This window comes from Homo sapiens, chromosome 6 (genome assembly GCF_000001405.40).
Source record: "Homo sapiens chromosome 6, GRCh38.p14 Primary Assembly".
Taxonomy (NCBI): Eukaryota; Metazoa; Chordata; class Mammalia; order Primates; family Hominidae; genus Homo; species Homo sapiens.
This window is the reverse complement of record NC_000006.12, coordinates 13,407,245-13,421,661: the sequence shown is the minus strand read 5'-3', so window position 1 is coordinate 13,421,661 and position 14,417 is coordinate 13,407,245. Positions and strand designations below refer to the sequence as shown.

The 14,417-nt window shown below is 46.7% G+C and overlaps 1 protein-coding gene across 3 annotated transcripts in view, besides 1 other annotated feature; it reads left to right on the top strand.

Annotated features, from left to right (window-relative positions):
• Nucleotides 1-14,417, top strand: part of GFOD1 (Gfo/Idh/MocA-like oxidoreductase domain containing 1) — a 129,771-nt gene that overhangs the window by 65,939 nt on the left and 49,415 nt on the right. The window contains exon 1 of one of the 3 annotated variants that reach the window (NM_001242630.2): nucleotides 13,525-13,752. The exons of the other annotated variants lie outside the window; for them this stretch is intronic. The gene's annotated coding sequence lies outside the window, so the exon portion shown is untranslated. Of the gene's footprint in view, nucleotides 1-13,524; nucleotides 13,753-14,417 lie in introns of those variants that run through there. 3 annotated transcript variants of the gene reach the window in all.
• Nucleotides 1,609-1,698: an enhancer, noted in NCBI's record as "active region_24025". NCBI's record gives its function as "activates an Ori minimal core promoter by ATAC-STARR-seq in GM12878 lymphoblastoid cells {active_cell/tissue: GM12878}" and the evidence as "EXISTENCE:reporter gene assay evidence [ECO:0000049][PMID:35858748]".

The following is a 14,417-nucleotide window of genomic DNA, read 5'->3' as shown; positions in this document are numbered from 1 at the left end:
GATTGCAGTGGTAGGGTGGAGAGAGTATCTGGTGGGCGGCATATGCCTTTTGCGCAGTTGTCAAATATAGAGGTTGGGATAGTGTGGAAATATTGATGGTTTTTTTTTAAATATGGATGGATATCCTGCAGAAAGTATAATTTTTTAAGCTTTTCTTACTTTTTTTTTGAGACAGGGTCTCACTTTGTCACCCAGGCTGGAGTGCAGTGGTGTGATCACAGCTCACTGCAGCTTTGATCTCCTGGGCTCAAGTGGTCTTCCAACCTCAGCCTCCAGAGTGGCTGGGACTACCAAGTGCATGCTACCATGCCTGGCTAATATTTGTTTTTAACTTTTTATAGAGATGGGGTCTTGCCGTGTTGCCCAGGCTGGTCTCAAACTCCTGGGCTCAAGCGATCTGGCTGCCTCCACCTCCCAAAGTGCTGGGATTACAAGCATGAGCGAACATGCCTGGCCAGTTTATTTTTTACTCACATTTTTATATGCATGTGATAACACCAACAGAAAAACAAAAGCTTCAAAAATATCCATCATATAAATGTACCATACTCTCTTTAATTATTCAAAATAACAATGTTATATCTACCCCTTATTGAATACTCACTGTGTGCCAGGCACTGGGCTAAGAATTTTACATACATTATTATTGTTATTTTTAGACATTTAGGTGGTTCGTGGCTCCCCCTCGCCACTATAAATAGTGCTTAGATGAATATCTTTGCAGATAATATTTTGTCTGATGTATGACATCCTGTTTAGAGTGAATTCTTCTATGTACAATTACTGGGCATGGAATTTTTTAAAATACACTTGAAACACATCACAACCTGCTTTAGTGCCATGTTATACTCCCTCACAAAGGAAGAAGGTGCCTAGGCGTATGTCCTCTCAAAGACCCGGAAAAAATCAGTCCTTTGTTGAAGTAGAGCCATTGGCCTGCTGGATAACTAGAAGTCTTGTTAATTTAAGATAAATACCTGGCAGTTTATTCTAGAGACTTAGGAAAAAAGACAGCAGCTCTTGACTGGGTTTTCACTGGATGCATTTTGAGGTACTGCACAGGAAGAAGAAAACACGTGCCTTTTGTCTCAGGGAGGTCAGGAGTTTTCAGGAGGGCTCTGGGATCCATCTCGATTGGTGACAGCTTTTCTCTTTCCCCTGCTTTTCTCTTCCGCTCCTAATTCCCTTAGTGTTCCACTCTCAAGCTAGCTGTATCTAGGAAGTGGGTGGGATGAGCTCTTCCTTGGAAAGATGCCCAAGAATTGGACTACGCTTGGGATCTGAGAGTAGGATGCCCTCTTCCTGCCAGAATTCGACTGCTGTTCCCTCGCCCTCAGACCCCTGCCAGGCCTCCATGTGTTGTGTCCTGAGGCTTGGTTGTCACTCTCTAAAACAGGGCTGCATGGGTAGATGGGAGGATATCTATTTGGAAACAAATCTGTGTATACAAAGAAACTAGAGGGCCCACTGGCTTTGGGTTTTCCACGAGAAACTGTGTTTTCTCCATCCAGACCTCATTCAAAGGCACGGATCCCATGCGAGCCAGAAGGTATGGACTGAGCCCCTTCTCTGTGCTGGCCATTGTCTCAGACACCAGAGGGAGACAGGGCAGTGAACAGGCAGACCACGTCCTGCCTGCATGGAGCTCACACACCTTCTCAGAGGGGAGAGAGATGACTGCATCCCCTCAGCAGGTGATAAACACATTGCCCCAAAGCCCGGCCGGCGGGGCACAGGAGTGATAGGGGCGAGGGGTGAGCAAAGTGCCAGCCTCCATGGGGTGGGCAGAGAAGGGCTATCCGAAGAGGGGACGTTTAAGTAGAGATTTGAAGGAAGCAAGGGAGGGAGACATGAACATTTACGGACAGCAGGTTTCAGGTGGAAGCAACAGTGAGTGCGAAGGGGGTGGGAGTGGGTTTCCGTGTCCCGCAACCGTGAGGAGGTGGTGAGCTGGAAAGAAACAAGCGAGGGGGAGAAGTCAGAGGAGCGGCGGCACGGGCGCTGCAGAGGAGGAAGCAGATCGTGGAGGGTCCTGCAAACCACAGGACTGACTCGGGGTTCTACATCAAATGTATTCAAAGCCATCGGAAGGCGGGTAGCAGGGGAGTCACAGGATCCAATGCCCTGTTTTAAGAGGTTGGCTGTGGCTCTGGTTTAGCCATCGGCAGGGATAGAAGCAAGGAGACCAGCAGCTACTGCCACAGTCCAGGAGAGAGAGGATGGCGGTCTCTGTGGAGAGTGAGAAGTGGCCCATTTAAGAGCACATATTGTAGGGCGATCAATGTCATTTGCTTTCACTCATCCCTTGGGAGGAAATCTGTGGCCTTTAGAGGCCTCTGGCATCCTTCCTTCCCCCAGGGAAGAGTAGAAACTTTAAAAATAGTCTGTTCCCTCTTTGGAATCTTGATCTCCAGATCTCAGTCATAGTTTTTAATAATCCTTGCCTCCATCTCGTTTTGGAAGACGTTCACCTCTCAAATGGGCATGAATCTTCCAAGTTCTTTCAGCAACAGGGAATGCAGTGGAAGTCCAATATGGCAACCTGGACTTCAGCAAGAACCATCTGCTTCTTCTCCTCCATGCCAAGCCTTCTGCTTAATGGGAGCTTGAGAAAAACACAAAGCCAGGAACCACCTGCTGGGGCTCCCAAACTCCATGATCTGACCAGGAAACACCGACCGGACAATTGGCAGGATGCATTTGAAATCTGTTAGCTCCAGCACCTGTTTGACTTCCTTCTAGGGCTTTGCATTATTGATTATATTCATGAAAAGGACTGAGAAACATTTCCCAGTGTGGCAGGAAGGCTCTCGCTGGACCAGTGCTCAGGAGACCTTCTTTTTTATTCCAATTCTGGAATTGCCGTTGGCCAGGTGTGTGGCAACAGGCACCCATCCTTGCTGGGACTGCTTCTTTATCTTCAGCATGAGTCCCAGACAGCTTGATTTCTAAGATGTGTGCCAGCTTTAACATCTCACAGTTCTAAGCTAAGAGTATGAATAAGAAATGAGGAGCAGAGGTGACAGATGACACCAATACTCTGGGCTTCGGGTGATTCCTTAAAGTGGTGTCTCAGGTTCAAGTTCAGAGCAAGCTCCCATGTGTCACCTTTTAGGCCTCTGCATTCATTATTTTCACAGGCTGCATAACTTGATTCATTCCATTAAAGGACACATGAGCAAACTGAAGGCTGAGATAAAAAAATAAAACTTCTTCATGCAAGGAGAATCATCCCTGATGGCTGCATATTCTGCAAACGGACCTAGTTTGATCAGTGATGTGTCAATCAGACCATGTGCCCAGATTGGATTTTTGCAGCTCCGGAGGGTAATTAATGAGAATGGGACAATTCCCCTTCCAAGAAGTGGCTGTTTCTTCCAGTTCCAGCCTTCATTTTTCTTTTGTCCCTTCTCCATCTTGTTATGATTTATAATCCTGCCTGTCCCCTGCAGTGGCTTCGGTGTAAGATTTTTACTAAGTAGGTGAATGGCTAGCTTCCAAAAATGACAACCTTTGTCCAGGTCTGGGGCTGAGGCCAGGTCAGATAAGCATGATACCTTTCTCTCTTCTTACCTGCAAGTTAACACATTCTTTCCAGGTGCAGGAGGATGACAGACCCAAGGCATTCAGCTTTAGAAAGTGTTTTTCTCCTCTCACTTTGTTTTTGTTTTCTCACTTGGACTGTTGCATATTGTTTTGAAATTCACCCATGCATTGATGAAAATGGCCAAGGTTTTCCAGAATGCCTGCAGGAGTGTACGTGCTCTCCATGGTGAGGGGTGGGTTAGACCCTTTCAGCTTAATCTTTTCCCAGCAGGTTCTGAACCCAGACATGCATTGTTGTTTCGACAAAAACATGGCAACTGATATTGTTACTCATGCTATGGTTGAAAGAATCCATATTCCGGGAATTATTCTCCTGCTGCACTTACGAGAAGCCATTCCTGGGCTCAAGGCTCTGTGACTGTTTTGAGCCTGATGTTGTTCTGCGTCTGTGCCTGACAGGCTGTGTGATGCAGTAAGAAGCCCTTTGTGCTTGGTTACACCGACTGTACTAGCAGCACTGTTGTAGTTGCTAAATAGCACTAGGACTTTGGGTCTCTAGGTTAATTCTCTGGTTTTGTCCTTGGAGCTGATTTAAGTCCATCGGCTCATTTAGCAATTGTCAGGTTCTTTTGGAAAATATTTCTAGACTCAGCCATTGGAAATAGGTTAATAAAAAGTCCCCAGCCTGTAATCCCAGCACTTTGGGAGGCCGAGACAGGCAGATCACGAGGTCAGGAGATCGAGACCATCCTGGCTGACATGGTGAAACCCCATCTCTACTAAAAATACAAAAAATTAGCCGGGCGTGGTGGCGGGCACCTGTAGTCCCAGCTATTTGGGAGGCTGAGGCAGGAGAATAGCGTGAACCCGGGAAGCGGAGCTTGCAGTGAGCCCAGATCGCGCCACTGCACTCCAGCCTGGGTGACAGAGCGAGACTCCGAAGTCCCCGAACATGGAGTACTAGAGTTCTCTAGAGTACAGAATAACTTAGCATGTGCTTCTCACTTAGCACATTGTGCAGTGTTTATAATGGTTTTAAAGAAGTTGACTAATTGATTTAATCTTGTCTTGTTCTTTGGTTAAATGATAGTTCTGATAGGGATATGATAAGAATGATGATGATGGGATAGCTTGAGAAGCCAGTGGCAGTGTCTCAGCCAGGCTCTACCCTGGGTCCTCTTCACTCTGTCAGCAAAGCCTGACCACTTTCTTTTCCTTTATTCACTTCTCAAATCTCTGCACTTTTCTCCATCCCCATCTCCATCACTCTAGTCCCCATTGCTACCATGCCCTGCCTGAATAATGCATGCACAATTTTTAGCCTAGAGCCTAGCACACAGTGAGTGCTCGATAGGAGTAAATAGGAATTTTTATTGTGAATAATTAAAGTCTGGTACATCTATATGAGATACCCTCTCTTGGTTAAAACCTTTCAGAGACTTTGTATTACCCTTAGGATAAAATTTAAGCTTCTTACCAAGGACTACAGACCTAGCCCCTGCCCAGCTCTCCCCCTCACCAAATGACACTATCCCTTTTGTGATGGCACAGCAGCCGTACTGACTTTTTCATTTCTTGGACCCATCAAGCCCCTCCTCTCCACATGGCTAGCTTCTTCTCATCATTCCTTTTTAGCTTAAATGTCACCTCAGTGAGGCCTTCTTCGACTGCTGTTTCTAAAGTAAGTTCCTTCTTGTTATCCTATGTCACAAACTCCATTGGTTTCTTTCATAGCATTTTCACAACCTGAAATGATGTTTCTTCCTTTCTTTAATTGTTTTCTGGCTGTCTCCCTGTATTAGTCCATTTTCACACTGCTATAAAGCATACTTGAGACTGGACAATTTATAAAGGAAAGAGTCCATTTGTAATTGACTCACAGTTCTTCATGGCCAATGAGGCCTCAGGAAACTTACAATCATGGTGGAAGGCAAAGGGGAAGCAAGGACCTTCTTCACAAGGCGGCAGGAGAGAGAGAGCATTAAGGGGGTATGGCCAAACACTTTTAAACCATCGGATCTCATGAGAATTCACTCACTATCATGAGAATGGCATGGGGGAAACCACCCCCTTTATCCAGTCACTACCCACCAGGGAAGTGACACATGGAGATTACAGTTTGAGATGAGATTTGGGTGGGGACACAGAGCCAAACCATATCACTCCCCAACTAGACCCTAAATTCCTCGAGGGATGGGACCACGTTTGTCTGTTACCACTGTGTGCCAGAAACATGGTTGATGCTAGAAAAATATGTCAATGTTCGTTTAATGAACGAATAGAAAACTAGACACCAGTCACCATAGCCATATAGATAATAATGGTGGTCAGTTAGGCGGATGGCCATCATGGCTCAAACTCTATGTGCTTCACATTCATGATCTCATTTAACCATTTCTACGTATCCATCTGATGAGTAAGTGGACCATTGAAGAGGTCAGCTTGCCCAGCTAGTGAATCCGGACACATAGAAGGTCTGCTGTCACTGGATGCCCTGTGGAACTTAACCCAAACATCCCCCTGACTCAGGACATGGGCAGATGCCTCCCCTTAAGGAAAAAATGAGAAGTAGGAAGGCTTCTGAAATCTGCAGCCACCCCCAGGTCTGGACCGTGCCCAGTAGCATCCACTTCTTCAGAGTTGTGTTGTGTTCTGAGCCGGAGAGGCCAAGGCAAGGTGGGTGGAGGAGGTGGGGGTGACTCAACGACCCCTTCTTCGCTCCCATAATGGCAGTGCCCTCCCTCAGAAGGGACATTGATGTTGAAAGGAAGGGGGCAGAAGGGCAGGCCAACTGGAAGGCAAAGAAAGACTGTGCTTCCCACAGGCAAGCACATTCTAGAACTGTCCCATGTGCTCAAGTTCTGGAAAGAGTGGAAGACGGGAGGGGATTGGCTTTAGGAGGACCTGAGAAAAGTTAGGTGTTGGTGTCTAGTCTGTGAGGAATATTTTAAGTGTCCTCCCCAGACAGGGCACGAGTGCTGGGGAGGAATCTGGATATAGCAGTGAAGGATGAAGAGGGGGTCCTGCCAGCAGGGAGTTGGGCTTGTGCCCTGCTGCTAGCTGTTCTGGGATATCATGGCTGATGTGCTTTCTCATTGGTGCCTAATTCCCTTCCCTGCTCGGATACTACAGTTGCTGTTCCCTGGCAGGAAAAGCAGGCCTCATTCTGTTTCTAGCCCTTGCATTTGTTGGGATTACAATGGCCTTTACTTTGAGTCACAGTCTCTTTTGACTTATGCCATGTTCATAGGATTCTAAGCCCTCCCCCACTACCACCCAAGAAAATCTAATTTAACATGAAAATTACTTTGAGCTACATAATCTGTCTTTGGACTCAGAGTGGATATTCTGATTCCTGCCATAAACAAAAGGGAACCCCTTTAGAAGTTTAGATTCAGGATAATAGCCAACATTTATCAAGCATTTCCTACATGCCAGCCACTGTGCTGACATTTTTCCCAACATGCCTATGATATGCATGCTGTTTATTGGTCTCCATTTTACAGATGGGGCTATGGAGGCACAGAGAGATCACATGAGGGACCTAGGTGGCCATGCCAGGAATTGAACCCAAGCAGAGTAGCTCTTGGACTAGATCTCATCAACTCTGTGCTGTGCTACATGCCTGGCCAGAGATAGCTGTATTCACCCTGGGCTACCAACCTAAGACAAACAGCTCAGCTTCTCAGCCTCTTAAGCCTCTGCTGGCTAGTTTTGTTCTGTTGGTTGGATTTGCAGGGCGCTGGCCGACTCTGCCCAGTGCTTCCGGCACTCACAGACCTGCGTCACAAGCCTGGCTCTCCTGCCAGTGTGACTGCACTGCCATCTCAAGTCATCTCCAAATATGTGCATCTTTTCTCGCCATCCACATTGCAAGATGCTAAGGAACAGGGCCCATGCTTTGTTTGTGTCCAGTTTCCCCAGGGTACCTAGCTTGTTAGTGGGTACTTATAAGTGGTTTAATGCCAGTTAGCCTGGCTGGGGAACACGATAGTCTCTGCTGAAGAGGCAGCCTACTAATAGTAGATAAAAACCTGCTTTTGATTGGTGTGAGCAAGCCCTTATCTGTTTTTAGAATAAACGTGATTTGCTTTGGCAACTGTAAAGCAGATGGAAAGCATCATCTGTAGAATCTAGAAACTGATTTCTGGGAGAGTCTTAGGGGCTTGGCCCTATTATGCATTCTATATTGGCCTCTTTATATCAGGCATCTCTGTGCTGCATAATTCCTAAGGTGACTCTTGGTCCCATTAACCTGTGCAAGGGACGGAACCAAACTAAGCTTTGAGATTGAACCTCGTTTGCTTGGTAGAGCCTTGGGGTCTTATCTGCCAAGCTGTTTGTTTGGCTTTGCTGTGGGCTGCTTTGCACACATGCTTGTTTGGACAAGGCAGCACAGGCTGTCCCATGGTCCAGGGGGTGGTAGCTGGGGCAGCCTTGGAGGGCAGGGTCAATTCTTGCTTCAGAGTGGTGCTTTTTTTCCCATCTTGGCCAGGGAATGCTCATACATTCTTTTCAGCCTGCCTCACTCTTGGCTTACCTTGGGTAAGGAGAGTACAGAGCTAAACTACAGCCAGCTGGAAGTTCCCTGCCCTTCTAGAGCTGAATGCCACTGTGGGGACCATTCATTAGAGAGGATCACGTTGGTTTTTCTTGGATCGGACCTCTTCTTTTGATTATCCTTTTGATGAGGCATGTGTGCTCATTACTTGTCATTGTGCATGCTGACTCCAGCTGTGCTGATGTGCCTTGGTGGCAGGAGAGAAAACTGGAGGCCAATGACAGGCTGAACAACCCTTCACAAGTGGGTGGCCTGCTCCCCATAGTGCCAGTCCCCAGGTAGATTTTTAAGACTGGCAGGTCACCTCCGTTCCTTCTTCCTGTCTCCCAGGAGAGTGTGGAAGGGTCAAGGCCCTGTGGGCAGATGCAGTGACAAATTGTGTGGCTGGTAACTGAAAAAAGAGGGCAAAACCTCAGGTACGAGTGGCCCCTCAGTCTAGGGTGCAGGCACTCCAGCGGAACATGTTGGCAAAGGCTGACTCAGTGGCAGAGCCAAGAGGGTGGGCCATGTGCCTGGGCAAAACTTCATTCCCAGTTCAGATTTCTTTGGGCCTCTCATGTATACAGTACCTGCCACTGAGACCACTTGAAAGACTGAAGATGCTGGGCAAACAGGATCATGCTTATCGTCATAGCAACACACACACTCTGAGGCAGACAGGATCCCCAAGGCCTTCTCAGATGAGCATTTGATAATAGCTTTGCTCAGAGGAGCCCTCTCCACCCCGTCACTACACTTGGTCATTACAACCTTTGTGCTTCAAAGGAGGGCGGGGGAAGTGCTCAGAGCACAGGGCATGCTGAGTTGTGTTAGCCCAGAAGGGAAGGCAAGAGGAGGGAGCAGAAGGCAGGCCTGTTGCCACTGATTTCTGCAGCCCACGCTGGTTCTCCCATCCCAGGGTCGACACCCCTGGAGTAACAGTAACAACGGGGGGAAGGGAGTGGATGTTAAAGACATTTGAAATATTTCATAACTGATACTGCCAACCAGAAGTGATGTTGGCTCTGCTTCCACACTGGTTGAATATCAGTTCTGCTAAAAATACCAGTCAACCTTTGTATTCGTTTGCTAAGGCTGTTTACGCTGGGTGGCCTAAACAAGGAAATTTATCTTCTCATAGTTTTGGAGGCTGGAAGTTCAAGATCAAGGTGCCAGCAGGGTTGGTTTCTCCTAAGGCCTTTCTCGTTGCCTTGTAGGTGGTGTCTTCTCTGTGTCCTCACAGGGTCTTCCCTCTGTTGTGTCTGCGTCATCTCCTCTTCTCCTAAGGACACCAGTCCTAGTGGATTAAGGCCCACTCCAATGACCTCCTCTTAACCTAATTACCTCCATAAAGAACGTGTCTCCAAATATAGTCACATTCTGAGGTACTGGGGGTTTGAGCTTCAATATATGAATTTTAGAGGGACACACTTCAGCTCATAACACTTATAATGTACTAAGTGGCAGTCTAACCCTCATAGCTAATATTGGAGCTCTTGCTAAGGCTGGAATTGCTCTTAGCACTTGCTGTGGATTATTTCCTTTAATCCCTGCAATAGCTCTAAAGTAGCTCTTCTTATTTCCCTCATGTTTCAGTTAAGGAAACAGAGGCACAAAGACGCTGAGTAATTTGACCGCAACAGCTAAAAAGAGGCAGAGCAAGAAGTTGAACCAGGCTGTCCCATTCCAAAGCTCGTGCTCTGGGCTTCCTGCTCTGGTCTCTGAAGTAAAGGCTTTCCTTGGGCTTCTCACTGGAAATGCTGTCAATGAGCGGGTTGTAGAAAGGGATCATCCTAATTCCTTGAAGAGAAGGAAAAGTTAAGGTGCTCCTTCCCGCCTCTGACTGGCTCCTATCACAGACTGGATGGCAGGCCTTCATCAGTGCAGCCACTGTACAGGAAGGAGGCCTTTCTGGTGACACAGTGTTACTGCGTCTGAGGAAACCGGGCTGCAGGGTACAGCTGGATGAAAATGGGCAGCTGAGGGCCAGGCGCGGTGGCTCAAGCCTGTAATTCCAGCATTTTGGGAGGCTGAGGCAGGTGGATCACTTGAGGTCAGGAGATCGAGACCAGCCTGGCTAACATGGTGAAACCCCGACTCTACTAAAAATACAAAAATTAGCCAGGCATGGTGGCATGCACCTGTAATCCCAGCTACTCGGGAGGCTGAGGCAGGAGAATCACTTGAACACAGGAGGTAAAGGTTGCTGTGAGCCGGTATCGCGCCACTGCACTCCAGCCTGGCTGACAGAGTGAGACTCTGTCTCAAAAAAAAGAAAAGAAAATAGACAGCCGATGTCTTTGTGGATCCTCACTTGGTAATGAAGGAGGCAGGCCCTGGAGCCACGGGTTGGATTCAGTCAGGGTTTGGAGCCCTCTGTCTTCACAGCTGGCTTCTCTGTTCTCCTCTGTGTTTCAAGGTGTCCCTTTGCCTGGAGTCTTCCTTCTGTTTTTCACCATTCCTGCTGACAGTCTCATTTGTCCTATAACGCAATGACAGCATACTCAAAGGTCTGCATACATGCTGGCTGTTTGCAGGAGCTGGGCTCCTCCTGGTGAAAGCTCAGGTTTACCATACAATTATGTGAGGCTTCCTTGTTACTTTGAAAGCTTTCCTTCTGCATCCGTGAAATTAAACTCTGTATTGCTGTGTGAGTAATTATGGGGCCCTTCTGTGCTGAGGCAGAGGGTGAGGGGTAAGGTGTTGATTCTCAGCGTTAGTGTAGGGAGTCAGGTCTCTCTCCTCTACCCTCCTTCTTCCTCTTTCTCCTCACTTTTTCTCCTTCCATCCAAATTGGTCAGACCTATATTGGTCTGTCCTGGGATCCCATGACACTGACTCTGAGCTTGCAAATTGTTCTCTACTTTTTTCTGCCAGCATATTGGGTAATTAATGCCCCTTCTTTCCACCTTTCTTCCTCTCTTCCTTTCCTCCTTTCTTTCTTTCTTCCTTTCTTCCTTCCTCTCTCTCTCTCTCTCTCTCTCTCTCTCTCTCTCTCCTTTCTTTCTTTGACAGAGTTTTGCTCTTGTTGCCCAGGCTGGAGTGCAATGATGCTATCTAAGCTCACTGCAACCTCTGCCTCCTGGGTTCAAGCAATTCTTTTGCCTCAACCTCCCGAGTAGCTGCGATTACAGGCATGCACCACCACCCCCAGCTAATTTTGTATTTTTAGTAGAGATGGGGTTTCGTTATGTTGGTTAGTCTGGTCTCAAACACCTGACCTCAGCTGATCCACCCATCTTGGCCTCCCAAACCTTCTTTCCAACTTTCATTGTTGTTGTCAGGATTTACCAAGCATTAGGTAGAGCCTCCTTCCTATAAAGATGAGATAACCCATCCAAACACAGGAGCAAGCCAGCTGCATTGCCAGAGCCAGGGCTCCCAGAACACAAATTCCAGAGTAGCTTGCTATATTTATCTGAAGTTAAGGCATCTTCCCAGAGTGCCAAACAAAACATTTGTGCATCATCTGGGGCTTTATTTCCCTATGTTACCTGCTTTTCTGATGATGTTTACCTCAGTTGGCCTTAGAGGTTTACCCTGCCAATCTAAAAAAAAAAAAAAAAAAAACTAAAAATCCGTATCATTTTAGAAATTCAGTAGCAGATCCTATTTCAATTCAGTTTCTTTCTTTCTTTTTTTTTTTTTTTTTTGAAATGGAGCCCCGCTCTGTCGCCCAGGCTAGAGTGCAGTGGCACGATCTTGGCTCACTGCAACCTCTGCCTCCCGGGTTTACACCATTCTCCTGCCTCAGCCTCCTGGAGTAGCTGGGACTACAGGTGTGTGCCACCATGCCTGGCTAATTTTTTTGTATTTTTAGTAGAGACGGGGTTTCACTGTGTTAGCTAGGATGGTCTCAATCTCCCAACCTCGTGATCTGCCCATCTCGGGCTTCCAAAGTGTTGGGATTACAGGCGTGAGCCACCGTGCCCGGCTGCAATTCAGTTTCTTTCTTATCTGTTAAGTTCAAATAGTGGAATCCTCTTTATTAAATAAACTATGTGTTATACTCCCTTTAAATTATTTCTGCTTGTAAATCTATCCTTCCTACTATCTCTCTGTGCATAAAGACGTAACTAAAATTGCAGTCCCCTAATCTCATGATGGTTACTTGACGGATGGTGGGTTTGGAGGCATTTCATTTTCTTCTTAGGATTTGTCTCTTTTATTTCATTGTTTTTTTCCTTCCTTCCTTCCTTCCTTCCTTCCTCTGTCTCTTTCTCTCTTTCTCTCTCTCTCTTTCTCTCCTTCCTTCCTTTCTTCCTTCCTTCCTTTCTTCCTTCCTTCCTCTCTGTCTCTCTATCTTTCCCTCTCTCTCTCTCTTTCTCTCTTTCTCTCCTTCCTTCCTTCCTCTCTCTCTCTTTCCTTCTTTCTCTTTCTTTCTTTCTTTCTCTCTCTCTCTCTCTTTCCTTTCTTTCTTTCCTCTCTTTCTTTCTTTCTTTCTTTCTTTCTTTCTTTCTTTCTTTCTTTCTTTCTTTCTTTCTTTCCTTTCTGATGGAGTCTCACTCTGTCACCCAGGCTGGAGGGCAATGGCACAATCTCAGCTCACTGCAACCTCCACCTCCCTGGTTCAAGCAATTGTCCTGCCTCAGCCTTGCAAGTACTTGGGATTACAGGCACATGCCACCATACCTGGCTAATTTTGTATTTTTAGTAGAGAGGGGGTTTCACCATGTTAGCCAGGCTGGTATCAAACTCCTGACCTCAAAGTGATCCACCCACCTCCACCTCCCAAAGTGCTGGGATTACAGGCGTGAGCCACCACACTGGCCTGTGTTAATTTTTAGAAAATGAACTGTCATTTTTCTAAAAACAATGGAGTAATTCCAAGATAAGCGACTATAGAAGTGAACAAATCTATCAGCCTGACTATTCTCTTAACAAAGCTGTGTTACCCGGGTGAGCACAGAGTACCTTCGGACATGAAATCGCTAAAGGTAGAGGGGCCCGGGCATCAGGTGATCTCCTGTTCATTAACTCTTCTGTTTGCTCCTGGCTGGATTTTATTTTGACTCACTGGCCTACTTTCCTCAGGTCCTGAGTTGTTCACCTGAGCTCCTCATTATCTTTTCTCCCTGCCAGGTCACATGGGGAGGTCCTTGCAGGCAGACATTTTTGCTAGAAAAGCAGCCATCAGTAGAAAAGCTATTCTCGCTTCACAATTAATGCTGTTTTTTAAGCAAAATGTGCCCCTCCTCAAAGTTCCACTGGAAACCATAAGGAGGAACAAGGGGAAGCTTCTACCTCACTGCCCAAGATAAGGAGCTTGCTATATTGTGCGGAAAATTGAGTTAGGCAAAGCGAGGCAATTGGAACTAGGTCCTGCTCTAAGAAGGAAAGGAAATTAACCTTTGCCTGCCATAGTCTGGCCCAAGGCCACATTCAATTGTGTTCTGATCAGGCAGAGGCTATTGCCTGAGCTGGAGAGAGAAGGTGTCACTTCATAAAGACTCTATGTGGAGGATAGATGCTACCGTGGCCGGGCTCTCAGCCACGTTCTTCTGCAGTATGCAGTAGGGAAGGGCACATTTCTCACATGCCTTCACCAGATTATAGTTTTCTGGGAGCAAAGCCAAGTGCTCCCACCTTTGGGTGCTGACCCAAGAAGAGATATTCTGTGAACTTCTGCTCTTTGGTTGGGCAATCTCCGAGAGTCAGTTGGTTGGGTGAGTACAGGGAGGAGGGTGGTTGAGATGGAGTCACCCTATTTATTTCATCACCGTCTACATTAAACAAAGGGTTTGTGTTTGCAATTCTCTTCTGATGAAATCCAGTGGCTCAAGAAAAGCCATCTGACTGAGGCCTATTGTAATAGCTGATCCTCTGAGCCCCATTTGATCTTAACTTTACTCCAAGTTTGCTACATAGAAACTCAGAACTGGGCAGAAGATGACATTTGCACAAAACCCCATTCCCGCTTTTGATTCAAAGATAAGCCCTTTGAACTTGGCCATCTCAGGCAATTTTCTCGGCCATTGTAACAGGGTGTTTTGAAGACACTCCCTAGAGACATAACAAAGGGCTCTATTTTAATGTCATCCTTTATTCCAACTGTCTGGGCCATTCTGGTCAAGGAGTGCTGCTCTGTGCCAGCCTGGGAGTAGGCAGCATACAGAAGAAAATGGGGACAAAGAAAGGCAAGGAGGAAGATGTAGTCTTTGAGGCCCGGGAGCTGGTAGGGGTGTAAGATTCTTCATCAATAAGAAAAGTAGGAAGAGCTGAGGCTGACTTTTCAATGTGAAAGCCAAATGGTGGGGTCATCTATTTTAAGGGTATCCTCCTTTCTTCTCTTCAGCAAATAGATCCCAAGCATACAATTTCAGCTGCAGTA